Source organism: Homo sapiens, chromosome 2 (assembly GCF_000001405.40).
Source record: "Homo sapiens chromosome 2, GRCh38.p14 Primary Assembly".
Classification (NCBI taxonomy): Eukaryota; Metazoa; Chordata; class Mammalia; order Primates; family Hominidae; genus Homo; species Homo sapiens.
This window is the reverse complement of record NC_000002.12, coordinates 74,925,589-74,951,692: the sequence shown is the minus strand read 5'-3', so window position 1 is coordinate 74,951,692 and position 26,104 is coordinate 74,925,589. Positions and strand designations below refer to the sequence as shown.

The window sequence follows — 26,104 nt, the reverse complement described above, 5'->3', positions numbered from 1 at the left end:
TGGGATGGCTGGGTAGAATTGTAATTCTGTTTAAAGTCCTTTGAGAAATCACTACACTGCTTTCCACATGGCTGAACTAATTTGCATTCCCACCAGCAGTATATCAATGTTCCTTTTTCTCTGCAACCCTATGAACATCTGTTATTTTTTAACTTTTTAATAATAGCCTTTATGAGTGGTATGAGATCGTATCTCCTTGTAGTTTGATTTGCATTTCATTAATGATTAGTGATGTTGGACATTTTTTCACATGCTTGTTGGCTGTGTGTATGTTTCTTTTGAAAAGTGTCTGTTCATGTTCTTTGCCCACTTTTTAATAAGGTTGGGTAGTTTTTGGTTTAAGTTCCTTATAGATTCTGGATATTAGACCTTTGTCAGATGCATAGTTTGCAAATATTTTCTCCCATTCTTTAGGTTGTCTGTTTGGTTTGTTGATAGTTTCTTTCTTTTTCTCTCTCTTCTTTTTTTTTTTGTTTTTTTGTTTTTTTGTTTTTTTGAGATAAGAGACTTGCTCTGTCACCCAGGCTGGAGTGCTATGAGCAATGACATGATCTTGACTCACTGCAACCTCTACCTCCTGGGTTCAAGTAATTCTCATGCCCCAGCCACCTGAGTAGCTGGGATTACAGGTGCACGCCACCACACACCGGTTAATTTTTTTTTTTTTTTAAGTGGAGATGGGGTTCAGACTGGTCTTGAACTCCTGGCCTCAAGTGATCCACCTGCCTCGGCCTCCCAAAGTGCTGGGATTACAACCATGAGCCACCATGCCTGGCTGGGAGTTTATTTTGCTGTGCAGAAGTTCTTTCGTTTAATTGACCATTGGTCAATTTTTGGTTTTGTTGCAACTGCTTTTGGCATCTTCGTCATGAAATCTTTACCTGGTCCTATGTCCAGAATGATATTCCCTAGGTTGTCTCCCAGAGTTTTTATAGATTTAGATTTTACATTTTAGTCTTTAATCAATCTTGAGTTGATTTTTGTATATGATTCTGGTACATTGTCTCTTTCTCATTGGTTTCAAAGAACTTCTTGATTTCTGCCTTAATTTCCTTATTTACCCAAAGTCCTTCAGGAGCAGGTTGTTCAATTTCCATGTAATTGTGTGGTTTTGAGTGCATTTCCTTAATCCTGAGTTCTAATTTTATTGCTTTATGGTCTGAGAGACTGTTTGTTATGATTTCAGTTCTTTTGCATTTGCTGAGGAGTGTTTCACTTCCAATTATGTGGTCGATTTTGGAGTAAGTGTCATGTGGCACTGAAAGAATGTATATTCTGTTGATTTGGGGCGGAGAGTTCTGTAGACGTCTACTAGGTCCACTTGGTTCCGAGCTGAGTTCAAGTCCTGAATATCCTTCCTAATTTTCTGTCTCACTGATCTGTCTAATACTGACAGTGGGGTGTTAAAGTCTCCCACTATTATTGTGTGGGAGTCTAAGTCTCCTTGAAGGTCTCTAAGAACTCGTTTTATGAATCTGGGAGCTCCTGTATCCGGTGTATATATATTTAGAATAGTTAGCTCTTCTTGTTGAATTGTTCCCTTTACCGTTATGTAATGCCCTTTTTTGTCTTTTTTAATCTTTGTTGGTTTAAAGTCTGTTTTGTCTGAGACTAGGATTGCAACCCTGCTTTTTTGTTTTTTGTTTGTTTGTTTTGTTTTGTTTGCTTTCCATTTGCTTGGTAAATTTTCCTCCATCTTTTTATTTTGAGCCTATGTGTGTCTTTGCACATAAGATGGGTCTCCTGAATACAGCACACCAATGGGTCTTTACTCTTTATCCAATTTGCCAGTCTATGTCTTTTAATTTGGGCATTTGCCCCATTTACATTTAAGGTTGGTATTGTTGTGTGTGAATCTGATCCTGTCATCATGATGCTATTTGGTTATTTTACACACTAGTCGATGCAGTTTCTTCATAGTGTCATTGCTCTTTATATTTTGGTGTGTTTTTGCAGTGGCTAGTACTGGTTTTTCCTTAACATATTTAGTACTTCTTTCAGGAGCTCTTGCAGGGCAGGCCTGGTGGTAACAAAATCCCTCAGCATTTGCTTGTCTGTAAAGGATTTTATTTCTCCTTCACTTATGAAGCTTAGTTTGGCTGGATATGAAATTCTGGGTAGAAAATTCTTTTCTTTAAGAATGTTGAATATTGGCCCCCAGTCTCTTCTGGCTGATAGAGTTTCTGCTGACAGGTCCGCTGTTAGTCTGATGGGCTTCCCTTTGTAGGTGACCTGGCCTTTGTCTCTGGCTGCCCTTAACAGTTTTTCCTTCTTTTTGACCTTGGAGAATCTGACGATCATGTGTCTTGGGGCTGATCTTCTCATGGAGTATCTTAATGGTGTTCTCTGTATTTCCTGAATTTGCACGTTGGCCTATCTTGCTAGGTTAGGGAAGTTCTCTTGGATAATATCTTGAGGTGTGTTTTCCAGCTCATTTCCATTCTCCTCATCTCCTTCTGGTACTCCAATCAATCAATTGCAGGTTCAGTCTTTTTAGGAAGTCCCTTTCATTCTTTTTTCTCTATTCTTGTCTGCATGCCTTATTTCTGCAAGGCGGTCTTCAAACTCTGAAATCCTTTCTTCTGCTTGGTCAGTTTAGCTGTAGATACTTGTATATGCTTCATGAGGTTCTTGTGCTGTTTTTTTCAGCTCCGTCAGGTCATTTATGTTCCTCTCTAAACTGGTTATTCTAGTTAGCAATTCCTCTGACCTTTCAGCAAGGCTCTTAGCTTCTTTACATTGAGTTAGAACATGCCCCTTGAGCTCAGTGTAGTTTTTTATTACCCATCTTCTGAAGCCTACTTCTGTCAAGTCATCCATCTGATGCTCCGTCCAGTTCTGCACCCTTGATGGAGAGACATTGCGATCATTTGGAGGAGAAGAGACACTCTGGCTTTTTGGGTTTTCAGCATTTTTGTTGATTCTTTCTCATCTTCGTGAATTTGTCTAGTTTCAGTCTTTGAGCCCACTGACCCTTGGATGGGGTTTTTGTGGGGGCTTTTTGTTGCTGTTGTTGATGATCTTGTTGTTGCTTTCTGCTTGTTTGTTTTTCTTTCAATAGTCAGGTCTCTCTTCTGTAGGGCTGCTGCAGTTTGCCGAGGGTTCACTTCAGGCCCTATTCATCTAATTCACTCCCGTGTTTGGAGATGTCATTTAAGGAGGCTGGAGAACAGCAAAGATGGGTGCCTCCTCCTTCTTCTGAGACCTCTGACCTCGAGGGGCACCAACCTGATGCCAGTAGGATCGCTCCTGTATAGGGTGTCTGACAACCCCTGTTGGAGGGGCTCCCCCAGTTGGGTGGCACGGGAAACAGAACCCATTTAAAGAGGCACTTTGTCCATTGGTGGAGGGAGTGTGCTTCACTCGCGGGAAACCCACTCATCTAGGCTGCCCGGATTCCTCAGAACTACCAGGAGGAGAGGATAAGTCTGCGGGTCCACAGAGACTGCAGCCACCCCTTCCCCTAGGGGTTCAGGCCCAGGGAGATTCGGATTCTGTCCCTGAGCCTCTGGCTGGAGTTATTGGCATTCCTGCAGGAAACCCCCACCTAATGGGGAAGGATGGGTCAGGCAGGGTCAGGCCTGAAGACATACTCTGGCTGCAAACTACCACATCCAGTGTGTTGGGCTGTGGGGACAAGTCTTGGGATCAAGCCATCCAGCCTCCCTGGCTCCAGCAGGGGAAAGGCGCAGACTGGAGCTATAGAAATGGGTTCCACCCTTCCCCCACCCAGGAAGCTTACCATATTAGGTAGTTGCCAGTCCCAATGCTGGCTGCTGCCCCTCCCCCAAGGTGCTCAAACAGTTTAGACAGCAGGCAGCCACAGCCATGGTGCTGGTCACCCCTCCTCCTGGGAGTTTGGTAGGCTTAAGCTGATTCCAGCTGAGAGGCTGTAAGAATCTGCACGTTCTGGGGTTGGAACACTAGGCCCCAGTGGCATGGGTTCACGAGTGGGATCTTCCGATCCATAGGTTGCACAGTTCCATGGAAAAAGCAGTTTCCCCGGCTGTGTAGCACTCTCACTCACCGCCACCCCTACCCCATGTGGTTCTCAGGTGGGCCACCACACTGCACTGTTCTTCCCTCTCTCTGTGGGTCATGCCAGCCTTCTAGTCAATTTTGATGAGAGAACCTGGATACCTTGGTTGCCAGGGAAACATTCACATGCTTATTATGGTTTTTTTCAATGGGAGCCTCGAACACTGCTGTTTCTAGTTGGCCATCTTGTCCCCACCCCCCAGGGGGATTACATTTCAACATGAGATTTGGGTAGGGCAAATATCTGAACTATAACAAAAATCAATATGCAAAAATCAATTTTATTTCTATACAATGGCAATGAACGAGCCAAAAATCACATTAATAAAATAATTCCACTTATAATCACATCCAAAAATTGAAATACACTTATGGTCAGTTGACTTTCAACAAGGGCACCAAAACAATTCAATGGGAAAAGAAGAGTCCTTTCAACAAATTGTGCTAGGGCAACTTAATAGCCACATGCGAAAGAATAAGGTTGAATTCACTATCTCACACCATACATAAAAATTAACTCAAAATGGATCAAAAACCTACAAATAAGGGCAACAATTATAAAACTCAGAAGAAAACACGGAGTTAAATCTTCATGACTTTGGATTGGCAAAGAATTTTTAGATATGAGATCAAAAACATGAGCAACAAAAGAAAAAAAAACAGATAAGTTGAACTTCATAAAAAAAAATTTTGTTAATAGAGATAAGGTCTCATTATGTTGCACAAGCTGGTCTTTAACTCCTGGCCTCAAACAATCCTTCTACCTTGGCCTCCCAAAGTGCTGGGATTACAGGTGTGAGACACCACACTCAGCCAAACTTCATCAAAATATTTAAATTAATTGTGTCAAAGGACACACTATCAAGAAAGTGGAAAGACAAAGTATTTGCAAATCATACACCTGATAGCCAGAACTGTACCTAGAATATATAAAGAACTTTTACAACTCAATAATAGAAAGACAAATGACCCAATTTAATAATGAGCAAAGAATTTGAATATACATTTCTCCAAAGAAGATATGCAAATGGCAAATAATCATATGAAAAGTTGCACATCAATATTTGTTAGGAAAATAGAAATACAAAACAAAATCACAATGAAATACCACTTCCCACTAGGATGGCAAATATCAAAACAGCAAAACAAATGTGGGCAAGTTGTGGAGAAACTGGAAACTTCATATACTGCTGGTCAGAATGTAAATGATGCAGCCACTTTGGAAAACAGTTTGGCAGTTCCTCAAAAAAATTTATACATATAATTACCATATGACCCAGAAATTCTACGCATAGGTACATATCCAAAAGAATTGAAAATATATGTCCACATAAAAACCTGTACACAAATGTTCATAGTAGCAAAGTTCATGGTATCCAAAAAGCCAAGACAACCAAAATATCCATTGACTAATGAATGGATAAACAAAATGTGGTCTATTCATACAGTACAATATTATTTGCCCATAAAAAAGAATGAAATGCTGATACATGCTGCCATGTGGCATGTATACTAAGTGAAAGAAGTGAGACAAAAAAGGCTACATATGGTATGATTCCATTTATATGAAGTGTCTAGATTAGACAAACCCATTGAGACAGAAAGATTAGTGGTTGCCAGGGCCTGGGGAGAGGGAGAAATAGGAAGTGACTGCCGACAAATAATGGAATTTCTTTTTGGAGTAATGGAAATATGCTAGAATTAGATAGTGGTGATGGTTGCACAACCTTGTGAATGTATTAAAACCACTGAATTGTACACTTCATTTATTTTGGTGATTTTTCATAAACACTAGATGACCAGGGAGAATTGTACAATTTAAAAGGGTAAATTTGCCAGCACAGTGGCTCAAGCCTGTAATCCCAACACTTTGGGAGGCCAATGCGGGTAGATCGCTTGAGCCCAGGAGTTCAAGAGCAGCCTGGGAAAGATGGCAAAACCTCATCTCTAAAAAAAAAATTTTTTTTAAATTAGCTGGTGTGGTGGCACATGCCTGTAGTCCCAGCTACTTGGGAAGCTGAGGTAAGAGGATCAATTGAGCCCGGGAGGTCAGAGCTGCAGTGAGTCATTATCATACCACTGCAGTCCAGCCTGGACAACAGAATGAGACCCTATGTCCAAAAAAAAAAAAAAAAAAGGGTGGGGGTAAGTTTTACGGTATGAAAAAGCCTATTTTTAATAGAAGTATTGCTTCTTCCTCCTGTCTCTCCCTCTCTCCTTGCATCCCCATACTACTTACTCCAGAAAAAGCTACCTGTCATGTCATAAGGACACTCAAGCAGCCCTATGAAGTCATGCATGTGGTTAAAAATTGAGGCCTCCCACCAATAAGCAGCAAAGGAACTGAAACTTTCTACTAGCATTCATGTGAATGAGCCTTCTAAGAAGTGTATCCTCCAACCCCAGTCAAGCCTTCAATGGCTGCAGCCTAACTAATATCAGAACCACTTAGCTAAGTCACTCCCAAATTCCTGACCCACAGAAACTGTAAGATAATAAATATATGTTGTTTTAAGCTGCTAAATTTTGGGGTAATCTGTTATGCAGCAACAAGATGACTAATACTTATAATCAGAAATAGTAGTGGGTCACTCTTAAAGAATTTGTAAAAAACCCACACATTCAGGCACTGTATTAGCCACTGGGATCCCTGGTAAATAAAAGTACCTACAATTCCTGGCCTTATATAGCTTAAAATATAGGATATATGATAGACATTAACCAAATAAATGCATAAATATGTCATTATAAACTATTATAGGTAACAAAAGAAAACTATGGGTTATCGTAAGAACGTAGAGTAGGAAAACCTCAGATCTCAATTTGTATTCTTATTTTGGAAGGTATTACTCAAAGCCTCTCCATTTTCCAGTTCACCTTTGTTCCACCCATCACTCGCTGATAGAGTCAGGGAGAATGTATTGAACGGGTCCTAAGCCTGTAGTACTGCTGCTGCTCATTGAACAGATAATGCACTTGCACTATCACCCTGTTACTGCATCCGGAGGAGTCCATTCCACAGCATCCGTGGCATGTTTCTGTATATCAGAGAACTCCCACCCTGTAGCTGACCAGTACACGGAGGAACTACAAGCAGCTAAAAGCATCAGTTGATCACCCTCTGGCATTCCAAGACTTACACTGATCACCGCTAAGCACTGGGGAGAGCAGATGCTGTTTTTCTATGTAAATGTAGTATCCATTCATAAAATTGGAAAGTGGCTATCTGAGGCCCCATGAAGTCACAAATGCCATTAATCCCTGGCATTCTCACTCTAATGACATCTATCTATCTGGATTCACTTTGCCTTTCACCCTTCCTAGATTAACCCTGACCAAGACCTGGCTGTCCATGCCATACATGTGTTTACAGCAATCAAGAAAGAACTGAAATAAACAGTGAGAGAGGTAGTAGAAAGAGTGCTGGCCTCCCGCTAGCACGATGGTCACTCCAACATTTGGTTGCAATGGAAAGTAACAGTCCTGAAAAGCAGTCATGGAATCTTGTTTTCTACCTCAAGAAAATCCTAGAGTACATCTGAACTTACACCTGAGACAACCAGGAAAGCCCCCAGAACAAACACTTTTAGGGAAAGAAGTCTGGTGCATGGGTGATGCCATTCATCCAGACAGCCCATCCACCAGCCACACACAATTGTAGGCAAATTTATTGAGAACTTCACCATGAATACACAAGCTCACACACACACACACACACACAGGTTTGTTCCAGTCACACACACATTTCACCTCAGTTCTATGAACCTAAATTTCCAGTTTTCTGCGCCTACCCCAATATCTACTTTTACTCTATTAAGTTTTGTCAACACTTACAAGTCTCTCCTGGTTTTCTTAGAACTCAGATATCCTAATATTAGATTTTCAAAATAAAACAAAATTCACCAAGATTGTGACTAAGTAGTAGTTATCCACATTCAGAGGATGAACTGGTCCACAAATATCTAACTCATCCCCGATTTCTTTCCTTGTCTTTCATTAATTGCTTCCATTACCCCAACCCCAGCCTGAAGAGGTGTTATGGCCCAGTTAGCCTGAGACTGAAAGAGTAGACATAAAAGCCTCCCATTAATTCTCTGTCATAGATTTTTTAAGCTTGAATAATGTTTAAAAGATAAAAAAAAACTCCCATAAAATCCTACTGTTGCTCTACATTATTTTTATTGTGTTACTTCAAAATGAACAGATATAAATTTCCCATACATATAGCTCTTAAATTACTTCAAAACTCAAGCAAAGCTGCAAATTAAAAACAAGCAAACATACAAAAGCCACTAGAGTTCATATAGAAAACATCAGTGTGATAAATGATATTTTGCTGGAACTAAATTGCTGGCGTTGGGTTTAATACACCTACTATTTGTATGTTTTATGCTTCACTTTCTGTCCTCTTGATTCTTTTGACTTTGAACAATACTGGAAGCATATCTTAAGTCTTTCTTCAAGTTATCGTAGGATTAATCGTTTTTGGTAAATAAGCTTGTTTAACTACTAATCCATTAGTTTGAGGGGCTGATAAATTTAATAGTGCACCACAATAAGTACATAATAATAAAAATACTGAAGATTAACATTAAAAATACTATTGAATAAAAATAACAGTATTCTTTCCTGCTATTGAATGACAGTTCAAGTTGGTATGTCTCACAATAACTTCTCAACATGATATGCCACTGCTATGACAGAAGACATTTTGAACTAATGATGTCTGTACTACCTTTGGGCCACAAAATTGATCAATTTTCCCACATCTTTCTCTATTCAAACTTAATGCAAAATCGACATTTCCATAGCATGCCGTGATGTTATTTGTTCTTCATTTGGCACCAAACTCAGCCTTCAGCACTAAAAATAATGTAGTAGAACATTTTGATTTTATTTCTTTAAGATTATCTTCAAAACGAAAGCAGAAAATTTGAAAATTCTCATGAAACACTCACTCTCTCAAGAACATCTACAGACCTACTTTGAGAAACAGAGCTTTAATAGCACAACTGAGTTACAGAGGAAATATTTAAATAGTGTTTTACTAATGCCTTAGGAGATATTCAGCGGTGAGAGAACTCTATCCGTCCATCGTTATCTTGAAGCCCCCAGCGGGGCTGTCTTTCAGCCTCACCTCAAGTCAGACCTCTTAAGCAGGTCAAGACCCACAACAGACAGCACTCCCTCTGCTGCTAGCCTGAGGACTGTTTTCCATCCCTTTCCCATGAAGGGACTCATTACATACGGTCTCTGTGCTGGCTTCCTCCTGTGGTTCACTCTTGTCTCATTACCTGGGGTAAGAACCCTCTTGCCAGCTTTAATTATGAACAAGTTTATAGTCTTACTAGACCATTAGCTCAAGGATCACAAATATGATTGCCTCCACTAATCGACAGATACAATGGTTCCAGTCCACTAGACCTTCCTCCCATAGCCCTGGGGATACCCTTGTTTTCTACCCACCTCAGACCCCTCCCTTCACCCCCGTGCCCCACCACCTGCCCAGGCCAACCAAAACAAAGATGCTGCAGGAAGTACTGGTAGTTCAGATATCTCCTTGGTCGATGTAGACATTATTTTCCTAGGCCTGAGGATCTACTCAATAACAAAGTCAAGGGGTTTTTGTGGAAGAAAATTCAACTTTGAGAAAAATGAGTGAATTAGTTGGGTTGCTGAAAAGTCCTCTTCAGGGAAAAGGTTTCCTCTTTATTTGGTCAAGGGCCCTCTTCACAATCTTCCCATTTGTGGCTCCACTTTGCTGTCCCCTTATATAGTTGTGGTCAAAGCCAGATAAAACATTATGTAGAAATAAATGAAGTTAGTAAAAGGAGCTTACTGCAAATATACTATTATCACAACAATAAGATAAAATAGCAGAAAAGAGAATAAGAAGCATGAACACCAAGAATAAATAATATAAAATACGAAAGATTAAAAACCAGAAGTTTAAAAGACAAAATAGGCAAAGAATAATACTAACTAAATGAATTTACTAGAAAGACAAAAAAAGAGTCATGCACTAAATGGAAGGAAAAATTAAATGTCAAAAATAGTGTGCAAAGGTTAACATCCTCCAACAGGGCAAACTGGGTGAGTCCTTTGAGCCGTGTGTGCTGCAAACTTCCCACTTGACTGACTTGCCAGCGTCAATCATCATCGCTGAAGGCAGCCCTGAGGGGAGGGTCTGTTCTTAGGGGAGGTCTCCTCAAGTCAGCAAACTTCAGCACAGAGGAGGTCAGGTCAATGAAGATCTCACCATTCAGCTCAAGCCTCCAGGCACTTTGAGGTAGCTTTCATTCCATAATTAAGAAGCTTTGCCAGTAGACATTAAATTGTTCTAGTTGAATTTCCAACCTAGCCCCTATGCAAAACCATGGCCAAATTTGATGGTTTCTCCATAATCAGAAAGTGTGCCTTCCAGTATCTATTAATTGTATATTTTATCCTGGGATGCCACGCTAGAAAGAAACAGGGTCTTCACGACATCCTTGTTTATTGCCTCTGCAGTCCACTCTGTTCCAGGCTGGTTCACGTTCAACTGGGGCTGCTTAGCTAATTCACAAAGTAGTAGATTCCAGGCCTCTGGTCAAAATACAGGCTTCTGTTGTTTTACTCTAATAATAGAAACAAATATTTGTTTCTATTTGGCACTTAATATATGCTGAAATCCTCACTGCCTACCTGCCCCAGTCTAGGGAGAACTGGCAGAGCTAAAGCCCATGGAAGCAGCCATCCCTGGTCAGAAGCCACGCAAGGAGCTTTCACCTCTTTGGCTCTATTTTTACATTTTCAGGGTAATATGTTCTCAAGACCATTAAGACAGTGCTGAAAAGACTATAAAAATATAAATGGAAGATTTAGCTTTCCATGGAGGTAGAAATAGAAGGGTGATTTGTCTTATCATTTTCTCACCTTAATAATGAAGACTCCATCTCTGTAGCCACTTCTGACTCCTGGACGTACACCGTGTGTTTGAGTGGGTGTGTGTGTGCATGCGCACGTGTGTGTATGGGTGTGTGTGTAGGGAAATCATGAAGGAAGGAAGATGTGCAGAGGTAGCAGGCTGTTAACATTTGCTATTACCTCAGGGGGATGGGAAGAGAGATGGTTATAGGAGGTCGAGATTATTAAGTTTTTCTCTACCGATCTTGGCATTATCTCTCTGGTTACAATAATATGCATTGCTCTTGTAATTTGAAAAAATAATAAATTAAACTTGAAAAACAGAGGAAATTTTTCCCATCAGAATAAGACTGCAACAGATGAAGAAATAGTTTACTAAATGTGGCTGAGGGTTTAAAGTTGCATTTGTGTACCTGGTGAATAAATATGCCTACCAAGATCAAAGCCCATAGAGATGACATATCTCTTCTTCTTCCAGACCAGACTAGGTCCTGCAGGATGTTGATATTTCAGATCATCACTCTAAGAGCAAACATTCATGCAAGATATGAAGAGGACATAATTACCTTAGCAGGGAGGGGTCTGTACAAACTCCTTTGACTTTAGAGCCCTAAGAATAGAATATGTTGGAGGCAGATTATCTGTACTACCCTTGAAAACAATGCTCTCTAAAACCAAAGTCCACAGTACTGAGTGGATTAGCCACTATAAATTACCTGTGCAGGAATGTGTGTGTGTGTGTGTGTATGCGTGTGTGTGTGTGTGTGTGTGTGTGTAGAAATGTTGTGAATAATAAATATATTGAAATAGGAATTCTGTGTACATTAATTTTGCTTTAATTCTACCTTCTGAAGATATCTCATTAGTAGAGATCATATTTGTCTTTTAAAAATCTCTTTGAAGATGTCCCATGGAAGTGGGGGAATGGATTATTCAAGATGGCCAACATTCTAATAAAAACTGGCTTCACTTTTCTGGCATCATAATCACTACCTCTATCAAAATAGTCTGCAAACACTTAGAGTGTCAGAATTCGGTCCAGGGACCCAGCCCAAAACCCAAATTTCTGGTAAGAGGGAAGATTCTGAGGGTCCTGGCGTCTTATGGGAAAAGAGGACAGGTGCAGCTGATGAAGCTAAAAGTACAGAAGCCCACAGCACCACCCAGACAGTCAGTGAGTGGCGCTTGAGAGTAGGAACACAGCCCTTGGCACAGAGAAGCTAGAATTTACCTAGCAGGCCCTGATATTTGTGATTTGGAAAGATTTCCTTTTATGAACATTTGGCTTCCCTGGGAGTTAACCTTGGTGCTTGACTCAGATCCTGGCCTTCGGTAGAACTCAGTAGCTAAGTTCTGCCCTTGTTCCTGGAAAACTTTTTTTTTTTTTTTTTTTTGAGATGGTGTCTCACTCTGTCACCCAGGCTGGAGTGCAGTGGCGCAATCTCGGCTCACTGCAATCTCTGTCTCCTGGGTTGAAGTGATTCTCCTGCCTCAGCCTCCTGAGTAGCTGGGATTACAGGCACGTGCCACCATGCCCAGATAGTTTTTGTATTTTTAGTAGAGACAGGGTATCTCCATGTTGGCCAGGCTGGTTTCAAACTCCTGACCTCAAGTGATCCGCCTACCTTGGCCTCCCAAAGTGCTGGAATTACAAGCATGAGCCACTGCGCCTGGCCTGGAACAATTTCTTACCAACTTTTTCTAACATTTTGGTTATGGCTCCTGCCTGGGTCATCCATGACTGGTTACCCTCCGTCACCTGACCTTCACCTGCACAACCAACACTGTGGCTCCTGCCTAAATTCTTGCCCTCACCTGTCTTTCTTCCCAACTTACATCCCCTGCTGACCTGCCTCACTTTTCTGCTTTTTTAAGACATCAGACTTTAATAAGGGAAATCAAACAAATGTAATTAAAGATAAACACATAAATAACTGGTGGACAGGAATGAAATTAGCTGCTCTTTTTTCTTCGTGTCAAGTTTCCACTGGCTTCTCCTAGCCAGGTGACTTTCCATTCTCTTTCTATTTTTGGAAATCCTAATGGACTACAAGGTCCTAGGTTGTTCCTCAATTGCTTTGTGTATACCACTCAGGTTTTCCCCAAAACACTAAATTCCCTGAGGCAGAGATGATGTCCTATTTCTTTTGTGCTCCCACAGCACCTAACAGATAGACGGCTTCAAAGGAGTTGCTCAATAAATTCTTACTGGTTGGTCAGTTGATTAATTTAGAATTCAACTATTGTTTAGTCATTAAGCATGTCCATGGAAAGTGTAAGCTCAGCATTTAAATATCAGTGAGAAGATGTGCAGAAAAAAACCAGTGACATCAACGGGGAGGATTATTTATCAAATTGATGCAGGGTTTTGTTTTGTTTTGTTTTGTTTTTTGTCGTCGTTGTTGTTGTTGTTTTGCCATAGTTAAGGGATGTCTTTTTACCTAAGAAGAGAGAGCAAACAAAATTGAGTACATTTATACTTTACATCAAACTCTAGGATATTACACCTCAATAGACACTAAAGATTTTCCTAATCCAACTCTACCTCCCTGATTTGAAGTGAGAAAGTAGAAGCCTAGGGAGGTGAAGGAATGACCCAATTTCCCAAGAGACAATTATCTCCTAGGTTCTCAAATTTTACTTTTTAGTAAATATTGCTCAATTTTTATTCTTACCACTACATTTACAAACCACTTATTATAATACATAATTTTTTTAACTTTTTAGTATGAAAAATTTCAAACATAGACAAAAGTTGAAAGAATAGTAAAATGAGGGGAGAAAGAGCATTAGGACAAACACCTAAACGCATGCAAGGCTTAAAACCTAGATGATAGGTTAATAGGTGCAGCAAATCACCATGGCACATGTATACCTATGTAACAAACCTGCATGGTCTACACATGTATCCCAGAACTTAAAGTAAAATTTTTTAAAAAATAGTAAAATAAATATTCATTTACTCTCCACCTAGATTTGACATTGCTAATATTTAGCCATGTTTGCTTCTCTCTGTGTAGATAGATAGACATCGTTTGTTTGTTTTTGGCTGAATCATCTAACACCGAGTTTCAGACATTGTAACTCTTCAACCCGAAACACCCTGCCTACATCTCTGGAGCATAGACAGTCCCCTACATTACCATTATTACACCAAATGAAATTAGCAATTGTTCATAATACCACTGAATAACAAGTTCATATTTGAATTTCCACTTTTCCCAACAATATCTCTTATAGTTGCATTTATATTTTTAACCTGAACCCAATCACGTTTCATGCATTATATTTCATTATGATGACTCTTTTAACAGAACAGTCCCCCCATTCTTTCTTGATATTAACATTTTGAAATATCCAACTGAGTTATCTTTTAGAGTGTCCCAGGTTATGGATCACATTGCCATTTACTCTTGAACAACATGGGCTTCAACTGCGTGGGTTCACGTATACACAGACTTTCTTCTTCCTCTGCTGCCCCTGAGACAGCAAGAACAACCTCTCCTCTTCCTCCTCTTCCTCAGCCTACTCAATGTGAAGACAATGAGGATGAAGATCTTTGTGATTATCTACTTCCACTTAATGAATAGTAAACATATTTTATCTTCCTTATGATTTTCTTAAAAACAGTTTCTTTTCTCTAGCTTATTTCACTGTAAGAATACAGTATATAGTACATAGAGCATACAAAATTACGTGTTAACCAACTCTGTTATGAGCCAGGCTTCTGGTCAACAGTAGACTACTGGTAGTTAAGTTTTGGAGGAGTCAAAAGTTATACATGGGTTTTCAACTGCATGGAGGGGAATGGCACTTCTAACTCCTGCATTGTTCCAAGGTCTGTGGTACTCAATGAGCAAATTTCAAAAATCAACAAGTAGTAATTAAGTTGGAGATTATCTACAAATGGAGAAAGTAAGTGATTTGGGCACAGTACAAAGATGAGACATAGAGTCTCTGATAAGTGTTCTCAAATATATCTTTCAAATAAAGTAAGATAGAACTACAAGAAGCCATCTATCTATTTGGCTATTGAAGAGTTTCGTGAGAACTTTCACAAATATGAGTAAATTAAAGAAATAAGATTATTGTCTGAGAATTAAGTTCTACACAAAACAGATCAAAACCAATGGATAAAGTCATCTGAAACAGACAGAATATGTCTGAAAGCTTAGCAAGTACAAAGACTAAAAGAGCCAGTCAAAGCAGGGTTAGTCAGCCATAAAAAGCATAAAAACAGGAGCATGAGAATGGTGAACATCAGCAGAGCCCGTGTAAGAAGTGCCCACTGGAGATGGTGCCTCAGCCAATGGCTTTGAATAATCTAACACCTTTAGAAAGGCCGTTCCTACAGTAAACGTGGCAGTATCGGCTCTCCTAGCTTAATGTCATTAAATGTTTGAATCATCTAACTAGCTAGCTCTTTTGGATTCCACGCTCACTAAGCAACATTCTGATAACTTGCCCTCCTTGGAGGTCTGACTTCATTAAAAGAATGTGCAAGTCATGTAGAGACAAGTGTTCCAGACACAGTGGCAGTTTTATCCCTCTTGTGAATCAATACATTGACATGCTGGTTTCATGCATCAGCTCTCTGAGCTTAATTAATTAGAGTTGAAGCTGAGGGATGGATCCACTCTCAGTGTGCTGACAGATCCAGTTTCTAAACCTGCAGGGCATAGACCAGACCCTGGACCGAGGCAGTGCCACCCTGTGAGGTCTCTCAGGAGACAGCAAATGCTCATCCTCTCATATCCCCACATTGCCTTTGGCAATTAAATTCCTCTAAGCTTTGTGTCTGTCTACTGACTCTGAGGGCATTGATTTACAGGGAGTGAACCAGATGTGGATTGGCAAATCTCTAATCCCTTTTACAGAGAGGACACTAGACTGAAATTGGAACAAATATGACCCTTCTCTTGGATCAGCTAAAGCAATCTTTAATGTAGTTTGTGTCTGAAGATGTTATTTTATCCTGGCCCACTTTCAACTAACTTTGGTTAAGGAAATGCCATTTGTGTCCCTAGGTTGTGAGTATTAAGCATCCTTTCATATCTGTCAATTTTCTCCACTTTAAAATGAGGATAATACTACCTATTATGTTATTGATTTACTAATCATTCATTCAACAAATATTTATTGAGTGTCTGCCATGTGAAAGCTACCATGCCAGGTACTGGTGGTATTTGGGAAATGGAGATGCTTGGTTTCTGCATTCTAATGGGGGAAATATAATTTAAATAAATTTCATTAGTCCAGTTGGGCTGCTATAACAAAATACCAGAGACTGGGTGGCTTAAACAGAAATTAATTTCTCGCAGTTCTGGAGGGGGAAGTCCAAGGTCGAGGTGTCAGCCAATTTGATGAGGGTTGTTTTCCTGGCTTGTAGATGGCCACCTTCGGGCTCCATGCTCACATGACCTCTTCTTTGTGCATGTGCAAAAAGGAAGAGAGGAGAGACAGAGAAAGAGAGAGAGAGAGAGAGAGAGAGAAAGCAGGAGCTCTCTGTTGTCTTTTCTTATAAGAACACTAATCCTGTGGGATTAATGCCCTACTTGTATGCCCTCATTTAACCTTAATTACTTCTGTAATGACCCTATCTCCAAATACAGTCATATTGGGGGTTAAGGCATCCACATATAAATTTAGGGCAGGGGGAGGGTACAGAAATATCAACAAAGGCAAGTGATAGATTGATTGATTAATATTACAATATGGTCAGAGTTGCAAAGAAACTGCAATAAGAAAAACCCTTTTGGGAGGATTAAATGAGTCAGCTACCTGGTTCTTTGCCCCCTCTACTTCTTTCTTCCTATCTATATAACCTTATTTAATCTTTGTCTATGGTCAAAGGCTAGAGGGCGAGTGGCACAGTCTCCCACCAACTTGTCCAATGTGTCTCTCCTCATTTTCTTTCTTTCCTATGGAACCTAATCCTCCAACCTATAAACAGTGCTCCCCATTGGGATAAAAATTTGTAGCTGCGAAGATTGAAAAAAAACATGCAGCTTGAGCATCAGCAGAAGATGCTGGGTCTTTCTGACTCCGGAACCAACTATGCCTCTACTGCTGCCCCTGAAAAGGGTAACCTGGGCAACCTTGGCTACTGGAGCTTATATACCCACTGTTCTTGCTGCTGCCGGAAGCTGGCCGAGCACATCTCCTTCAGTGATACATCCGTTTTTGTTTTTATCTTTCTCTTGTCTTGGGACCTTAGAATAAATTCACTCAGTACTTGCACTGGATGAACTTCAGCTCCTTTCTACCCTAAAAGGAGTTCTTTATCTACTCAGAAGACTCCCCTCACCCCAGATGAAGGAGGAGGCTTTGCCACCCCTTGTTCTCAGGAATATTAATTCTAGTTTTTATGGGTTGAATGTTGTCTCCGCAAAAATTCATGTTGTATTTCTATCAGTACCTCAGAATGTGAACTTATTTAGATAGAGGGTCTTTAGAGAGATCATTAAGTTAAAATGAAGTCATTAAGGAGTGAGCCTTAATCCAGCGTGACCGGTGTCCTTATAGAAAGGAGAAATAGGCAGACAGACATACATACAGCAGGAATATGATATAAACAAGGAGACACCCACCAATAAGCCAAGGAGAGAAGCCTGGAATGGATCCTTCCCTCACTGCCCTCAGAAGGAACCAATCCTGCCAACAACTTGATTTCAGAAGTCTAGCTTCCAGAGCTGTGAGATAACAAATGTCATTGTTTAATCTACCCAGTTGTGGTATTTTGTTATGGCAGTTCTAGCAAATTAATACACTAGTGTTTAGGGCCTGGCCTCAGTCTCAATAATCTACCTATTTTATTTATGTCAACAGGACTCCTAAAGACCTGTCCTGATATGCCAGGACCTTGAAGTCCTCATATGGATCAATCTTTCCCTCCCCCATGGCTGTCACTTCACTGAGAATGTACCCCCTTAGGGTCTCCTATATATGAAAGTCACTTCTTCAGCAACTAAGGATTAAATATGAGTAAGACTCAAAGTTTTTAAAGTCTAATGAAAACTTTTGTTGCTCTTCTTTATTCCTGGACCTGAGATGGTGCCAGGGAAAAGAATGGGAGAGTGGCCACAGCCCTAGCCACAGAGCAGACCCTCAGCTGGCCTTTGCCTGTCTTTTCATTCCAGGTCCCAGGCCTAAAGAGCAACCATACTGTGGGACATTCTCTTCTCATGGCAGACAGCAGAAGATCAAGAGGGACGAACCAAAATATGCCTTGTCTCATAACCTTGTGCTTAGAACTGGCACTTTGTCGCTTCCACCCATGTTCCACGGATCAAAGCAACAATTAAGGCCAAGCCCCACATCAGTGGAGCAGGGGTGCACGTGTCCCTTCAGGGAGAATGGGCAAGTCACACCATGGGCAGGGCTGTGTCACCCTATTACAGGGGGAAACTAGGAGTTGGGAACAACAGTTCTTTCTACCACAGATTTAGAGTGTACTCTTTTGAGGAACTTGATGGTAAAAGTAAACAGAGCAGTAACTAAAGGAAGATAAGAAGCCAACTATGGCTTCCATTTTGTTTTATTTTTCAGGTAGGAGACATTTGAGTAAGTTTATATATTACTGGGGAAGGAGACAGAAAGGAGCAATAAAAATACAGAAATGAAAAGAAAGAAGTGATGAACATCACTTCGACAATTCTTCACTTTCAAAACGCAAACTGTATCACCCGGGGTCCAATTAAGACACAGAAACCACACTATAATTTGGTTGGGGAAAGTTTAATATAAAAAAAGTTGGCTGCTAAGCAGTAACAAAAGAGAATTGGCTGCTAATGGGGTAACAAGAAGTCTAAAGAATAGAGGACTGACATGTACAGAAAGCGGCCACTATCCCCAGGGCTGAGGCAGAGCACACAAGGATGGAATGACTATGGAAGAGCAGCCCCCACTACCTGAGCTGAGATCCAGACCTTGATGGGAAGTACACAGCCATGACTTACTGGGTGGTGCAGTCACCGAGGGGCATCCTGGCAGGACTCACTGGCAATTCACCTTCTGGGGTACTGAGAGAAGATGCCTATGGAAACACATGCTGCTGGTCACCGGTCACTGTGCACTACAAAAGTCTGCCTAGAAAAAAAAAAAAAAACATTAAACTAGGAAATACTGTTCATCCTCCAGTGTCCCCTACTGATGAAGCATATAACATCATACTAGCTAAGCAAGGGGAAAGGTTCCAATATCACAAGCAAGCAATGAAGGTGGGTTTGGAGCTGAGAGGCAAGAGGTGATAACCAGCACCCCAACCCTGGTGAAATCAAATTCTATGCCTATTCCACACCAGCCCCTATGCAGCTATATGCGGCTAGAGAAAGCAACAACAATATCAACAACAACAACCCAACTGATTGGTCCAACTGGTCTTGTCATTAGGTCTCAAACGGTCATTAGTGTGGCCAGAAATCCTATCACATTTTCATGCTGCTCACTAATCTGCTCACCTGGATGATTATTTGACACCTTCTCCTCGCTCCTCAAACATACAACACCTTTTCCCCAACCCACTCACTCTCTCCATGGTGAACTTGGTTCCTATTTCACAAAGAAAATAGAAGCATTGGGAACTTTTGCAAGCTCGCACCACCACACCTGCACACCTACCAGTATCTGCACCCACATCCTTTGCCTTCCCACCAGCTAAGTGACTGAGATGTCAGGGCTCCTCTCTAAGGACATCCTCTCTACTTCTCCATCAGACTCCCATCCCCTCTTGCCTACTCAAGAAACTCACTCTGCTTCTCTCTCTTTCTCTCTCTCTCTCTCCTTTCCCTACATCATCAATTTCTCCCCTCCACTTGACCATTCCTAACAGAATACATGAATGCATCTAAAAAATACACACTCTTTACCCCACACCCCTCCAACTTCTGCCTCACTTCTTTGCTCTTATTTATAGAAAAAGTCCTTTTTATTAACTTGTCTATATTCATTGTCTCCAATTTTTCTCTTCTAACTCCGCTTGCACTTACTCCAGTGAGGTATTTATCACCACCAGGCCACTGAGACAATATCTTCAAGATCACCAGTAACCAGGGCCACCCCTAGTATACAAAGCCCTAAAAAAATATTTTATAAGACCCTTGCCTATCTAAACAATTTAATTTTAAAAGGTATTTCAAAATGTATGGGCCTATGTGAGGTGCTGACATTTGTCAATGAAGATTTAGAATAATCCATAGAGAAGAGGTACTTACAAATGTGTTTATTCTTCTATCACTGCACATGAAGATTCTTCATAGAGTCCAGACACCAGCTATTCCTGTTCAGATCCGGGAAATATCTGCCCATGCTCTTTTGGTTAAAGTTTTATTTCCTATTGTGAGAAAGAGGCGGCAACATTGTTGTCACTCACGATGTCATAGCTTTTGGAACCTGTTTGTATTGAAACAATATAGTTTTGGGTTTTGGTTTTGTTTTTTCGCCTCTGTGGTTCTCTGATACCATTTGTCTAATGTTGGTTGCATCTTGACTGATAGTGCTGCATCATTCATCGTGGCACCTGCAAATACTGGCATCCAACCACTCTCTCAGAGGTTGTTTCTGTACTTCATTAATAATGACCAAAATGCAAGCCTTACCCAGAATATTCAGGAAAGTATGAATGATAATTTATTTTTCATTTGGAGTTTTATAGTGTAACCATAAAGTGACACATCTTCCAACCATGTATTCTCTTGAATTCTTCAGGCCATTATAACTACATTCTTAGAATGTGATCCCTTTCAACATTTCCTGCACCTCTGCTTCTGCACACTACCACCAAAAGACAAGAAAGGCAAGGAGACGTGACTGGAGCAAGAAAAACAGTGTTTTTCACACAAGGATGTCCACTCCTTGTTGGGAATGGCTTAAGATCGACCTGGGAAAGCAAAACATCGCCATATCATTTGGAGGAAAGGCACTGGTTGGAAGAGCCTGTTGGCGTGGCAAAGCCAAGGTCTTTAAAGTCCTCAGAGAAGGCAGGCATAGCCACCACTGGAGGACTTCCTGATATGTGGTACAGAGACTGATGAGGGCATGGGGTGACAACCTTAGGTGCCAACAGCAAGGGGATGGATATACAGGGTAAAGGAGGCTTGCTGCCATCCTACGCCTTTGAACGCCACAAATCAGAGATGGTACCATGGAGGAACATGAACAGGTGAGAGCTGAGGCATGGGTGCCCACACACAGCCCAAGCCCAGGTGCTAACAGTTGACCATCAGTAGCCCAGTGCCCCGAATTCATCCTGCGCCTGATTATCACCCAAAAGCAGTGCATCGGCACCATTCTGGTGACTCAATATCACACAATGGCACCAGCCAGCAGGAACAATCCAATTGCCAGGCTGCCCTCCTGCACAGAGCCCAAGCCACAGAGCCCTCAGATAACTCCATTGATGCAAATCTCAGAGTTCCTCAAGGAAACAGGTCAACCCTGCACATGGAGTGGAGATTCAGAAAGGCCCCAAAAAGGAAAAAAACAAGGATCAGTGTCCATGTATGTCCCTGTATGGGGCTGCCATTTGTCCTAACCACCCTGGGGTCTGCCATAGCTGAGCCAGCCCTACTGGAAGAGGATAGTCAAATAACCTCACTCGTATTCTTTTGCCACTTACTGTGTTGCCCTAGCTTCCCTCCAGGGGATCCTCATTTTGTCCTAGGCTCAACCTTACCTTTGATCACTTTAGGACTCAGGCACAAGATTTCACATTGCTGGGAATCCATTTTCAGTCTTTGAAAAGACACAGTGATTCTTCAGGAAGTTTGTTATCCCAAAGATGCAACAGAGACAGAATTTCCCAGCTTGAAGGGATTTGAAACATCCATAAAGTTACAGAAATTCATATCTGGAGGAGTCTTAACGGTCATTCAGACCAACGCTTTCTCGGGTATCTATAACATCCAATGCCCTAGTTTCCCTGCTGTCTTTTTTGGCCACTCCTTTTCAATCTCCTTTGCAGGCTACCCTTTACAGGGCTCAGTCTCCACACTCTTTTGTTCTAGATTTTCCCCTGGTGACCTCACCGAGGCCTACAGCTTTAAATACCATCCATATGCTGATAATTCCCAAATTTATATTTCCAGTCCCAAGCTCTCCACTGAGTTTCAGGCTCATATATCCAAATGTCTACTTCTTGCCTTCAGTATACCTTACAAACCTCTCAAGTTTGACGTGCCTAGAACTGGACTCTGGATTTTACCTTTTGCCCGTATCAACAAGTTCCTCTCTTAGTCTTCCAATCACAGAAAGGGCTCCACCATCAAGATGGACATGAGCCTAAAACCCAAGAATTCTTGTTTCCTGCCTTCCTTTCCTTCTCTCACATTCAGTCTCCTGGTAGACTTGTTCATTTACTTCCACCATTTCTATCTACTTCTTTTCATCTCCAGTGCCAACATTCTTGTCCAAGCCATCACTCTCTCTCCCCAAACCACTCCAATAGCATCCTAACTGGTTTTCCCTACCCTTATCTCACCTCAATCCATTCTCTGCATATTAGCTGGAGTGATCCTTTCAAGAAGTGAATACAAACCTTAAATCTTTCAACAGCCCTCACTGCATCCAGAATAAAATCCAAGCACCTATAACTGCCTAATATGGCTTCTGTCCACATCTAACCTCAAATCTTACCTTCTGCCCTTGCTGTGCTCAAGCCTTTCTGGCCTTTCATTTCCTTAAACACACCAAGCCTTTCCAGCATCAGAGACTTTACAATTCTTCCTGGAATGCTCTTCCACTAATTTCTTTAGGTCATAGTTTGTGGTCATTTGAAAACATGTCCACAAATTCTTTTCTATCCTAAAAAAAGGGGGAATCCAATTCCCCTCCTCTTGAACATGGACTAGCCTCAGTGGCTTGCTACTAATGAATTAAATGGTATAGAAGTGACTGTAACTTCTTAGACTAGGTGACCAAAGATGGCACAGCCTCCACCTGGTTCTCTGTCTTGTGAGGCTCACCCTTGGAACCCAGCCATCATGCTGTGACAAAGCCATGTACCACATGCAGGTGTTTCGGGGAACAGACCTGTCAGAGGTCCTTGCCAACAGCCAACATCAGTCAGCATCAACCACTAGACATGTAAGTGAGGAAGCCTCCAGATGATTCCAGTTCCCACCTTCAGCTGATGTTAGGTGGAGCAGAGACATGCTGTCCCCACCTGCCTAAACTGCAGATTCATGAGTAATGTAATTTCTGTCATTGTTTTAAGCCATTAAGTTTTGGGGCAGTTTGTCACACAGCAATAGACAACTGGAACACAGCTCATATGCCCCTTCTCAGAACTGCCCTCCCTGATCATCCTAAGTGCCCATTGGCATTATCCATAACCTGAAAATTATTATGATTGATCCTAAAGTCCAGCCTGGTGCCTGGCACGTAGGAGATGCTCAGTGAATATTTGTGGAATGATTGAATAAGGAAATGAATCCTCTTGTCACATTTGAAGTTATCAGTCATCAATAAAATGGGGATTTGTTTCATCGTTTGCAGGGTGATGACATCAAACTCAATTCGGAGAGAGGAAAGGGTAGTTATGAAGCATGCTCCACTGGTGCTGCTGGATAGTGAGGGTGGGCAGACTTGACGACCACCAGTCCAGGACCTAGACAGCCTGAAGACACGGGGGCCTGAAAAGGTAGTTGGGGATGCCCAAAGAATGCTAGTCCTGGTGCCAATGCAGCAGACAGTCACCTTGTCTGTTGTCGAGTAAACAAGTGCCTCCTCTTGGGCCTGTGATGCCTGCCAGCACATGTCTTTCTCAGAGGTGGGCATATTCTCTATTTGGGAAACAATGGGTAGAGGGATTGAAGCAGGAGAAGTTTCAGAGAATCACTCTTGCAAGAGATGCTGCACTCTGGCAGACTCGATAATGACAAATATGTCAAGCAACTGAGTTTCAGCAGGGTTCCTTCGGGCCTTGTTCACCAACTTGTGGTTTCCGTGGTGACAGGACAGCTGCCAGGTAGATGGCGGCTTTGGGGCCACCTGACTGGCTCTGACGATAACTGGCTTTGACAGCTTTGATTGGAATGAAAAGATTTAGGGTCCCTACTGGCTTTCTTAAATTAAACCCTCCCTCCTGGAGTTAGCTTGTTTATCAACATTATCTTAGATTAGGGGACTTTCTTGTGATCAGAGAGTTCTTTTACCACGATGGTTCACATGTTGGGGCCACTGGCAGGGTTTCTGAGATCAGGGTCCTCGGAGCAGCACAGAGAGGTAAGGCTACACCCTGATGTGCTTCTCAGGCAATGCCTCCAAGGGGCATGTTAACAGTCAGATCTAGTTAGGAAAGAAAACAGGAAAAGGACCTGCATTTTAACAGAAATAATTTAATCTAGGCAATTGAGTAAGCAGGTATTAGAGGCTGAAAGGCAAAAAGGAAGTATCAAGATAAACACAGGGATGGTAACTGCCAGAGGCAGCTCTACCTCTGGGGCTGAAGAACACAGGGAAGATACTGGGGTTGCAATAATTTCAAAGCTTGGAAGAGGAGCCCTGCGGAGCTGGGACCTAGGCTTCTAAGGAGCGGCGACTGCACAGTATCTGTGAGGCTGGATTTGAGAGTCCAGAAAATGTTGAAGACTGGAACCCATTGCTATTGAGGTAAACTGCCACTGCAAGGTGAAAAGTCATTGTTGGGGTGATGCTCACAGGGACAAGAAGCAGTCCCAGGAAGAGGCAAGTCCCTGCTCTGCCAATTTGCCATCCCTCCTTACTGACAGAGCCCCACATGGAGCCAGCTGGCCACAGAGCAGTGTGGTTCGCCAAGTTCCAGCCCCAGAATCACAGGGTAGAGTACAGACAGGTGGGTCTGACCTTAGAGACATCAGCTTCATAATCAGCACAGGGAGTGTGAACAAGACGACAATGGTAGGCCCTGAGATAGAACAGCCAGGCCCAAAACACCCACACCTACCCTTCACTGGTAGAAATCACCTCATGCAGCTGTGTGTGGTAGCTCACGCCTGTAATCCCAGCACTTTGGGAGACTGAGGCAGGTGGATCACCTGAGGTCAGGAGTTCAAGACCAGCCTGACCAACATGGAGAAACCCCATCTCCACTTAAAAAAAAAAAAAAATACAGGGCCGGGCACGGTGGCTCACACCTGTAATCCCAGCACTTTGGGAGGCTGAGGCAGGTGGATCACGAGGTCAGGAGATCGAGACCATCCTGGCCAACACGGTGAAATCCCATCTCTACTAAAAATACAAAAAATTAGCTGGGCGTGGTGGCAGGCAGCTGTAGTCCCAGCTACTCGGGAGGCTGAGGCAGGAGAATCGCTTGAACCTGGGAGGCAGAGGCTGCAGCGAGCCGAGATCGCGCCACTGCACTCCAGCCTGGGCAACAGAGCTAGACTCCATCTCAAAAAAAAAAAAAATACAAAATTAGCTAGGCGTGCTGGCACATGCCTGTAATCCCAGCAACTGGGGACACTGAGGCAGGAGACTCGCTTGAACCCGGGAGGCGGAGGTTGCGGCGTGCTGAGATTGCACCACTGCACTCTAGCCTGGGCAACAAGAGCAAAACTCTGTCTAAAAAAAAAAAAGAAAGAAAGAAAAGAAAAGAAAAAAAGAAAAGAAATCACCTAATGCGTGCTCAGTTCTTTACACTTTACAAACAGCTTCTTATGTTATCTTATTTAAAGGCAGAAAACTGCCTATGTGTACTGGCACTGACCACCACATGAGGAGAACAGGACACTGTCCCAAGCACCCAGCATTGGTGTCCTTTGCTTTCACTTTGTCCCTGAGCTCCTGAGGAACAGCCCTGATGCAGCCTGACCTGGGCATTTCCCGAGATGTGGAAGTTTTCAACTTGTTTCTTGGGCAAAGTAGGCAGGTCACCAAGCAGGACAGTAACCCTGCCCCCAACTCTGTTTTGGCCAGAATATCTCCACTAACATTTGTTTCTCATACTGGGTCTCCAGGTAAGCTTATGTATGAAGAGGAGGCTCTTCAGTGAACAATAGCTTGGAAACCTTTGCCCTAGAGGGAGAAACCTTCAAGCTGCCAGCCACCAAATAAGCCCACAAGGCTCACTTCCATTGTCTTCTCCTCTGCAATGCCCTTTGTCCCTACCAGCCTGAGGCAAACATCAGTCCCTATTGTCCCCTTCGGAGGTTAACCCTACCTCCAAAACCTCTTAAGAGTATCC

At 42.0% G+C, this 26,104-nt stretch overlaps 2 long non-coding RNA genes across 13 annotated transcripts in view; one reads left to right on the top strand and one right to left on the bottom strand.

Annotated features, from left to right (window-relative positions):
• LOC105374809 (uncharacterized) overlaps positions 1-26,104 on the top strand; it is a 40,654-nt gene that overhangs the window by 7,187 nt on the left and 7,363 nt on the right. For 2 of the 10 annotated variants that reach the window (NR_187877.1, NR_187878.1), the window contains one exon: positions 20,650-23,431. The exons of 1 other annotated variant lie outside the window; for it this stretch is intronic. This is a non-coding gene — a long non-coding RNA (uncharacterized LOC105374809). 7 more of the 10 variants (NR_187875.1, NR_187876.1, NR_187884.1 and 4 more) reach the window with 6 other exon arrangements.
• LINC01291 (long intergenic non-protein coding RNA 1291) overlaps positions 8,199-26,104 on the bottom strand; it is a 34,534-nt gene continuing 16,628 nt past the window's right edge. For 2 of the 3 annotated variants that reach the window (NR_189601.1, NR_189602.1), the window contains exons 2-5: positions 20,157-20,275; positions 18,903-19,032; positions 10,954-13,385; positions 8,199-10,655 (exon numbers count right to left, since the gene is read on the bottom strand). This is a non-coding gene — a long non-coding RNA (long intergenic non-protein coding RNA 1291). Of the gene's footprint in view, positions 10,656-10,953; positions 13,386-18,902; positions 19,033-19,403; positions 19,495-20,156; positions 20,276-26,104 lie in introns of all 3 variants that reach the window. The other variant, NR_125792.2, reaches the window with a different exon arrangement.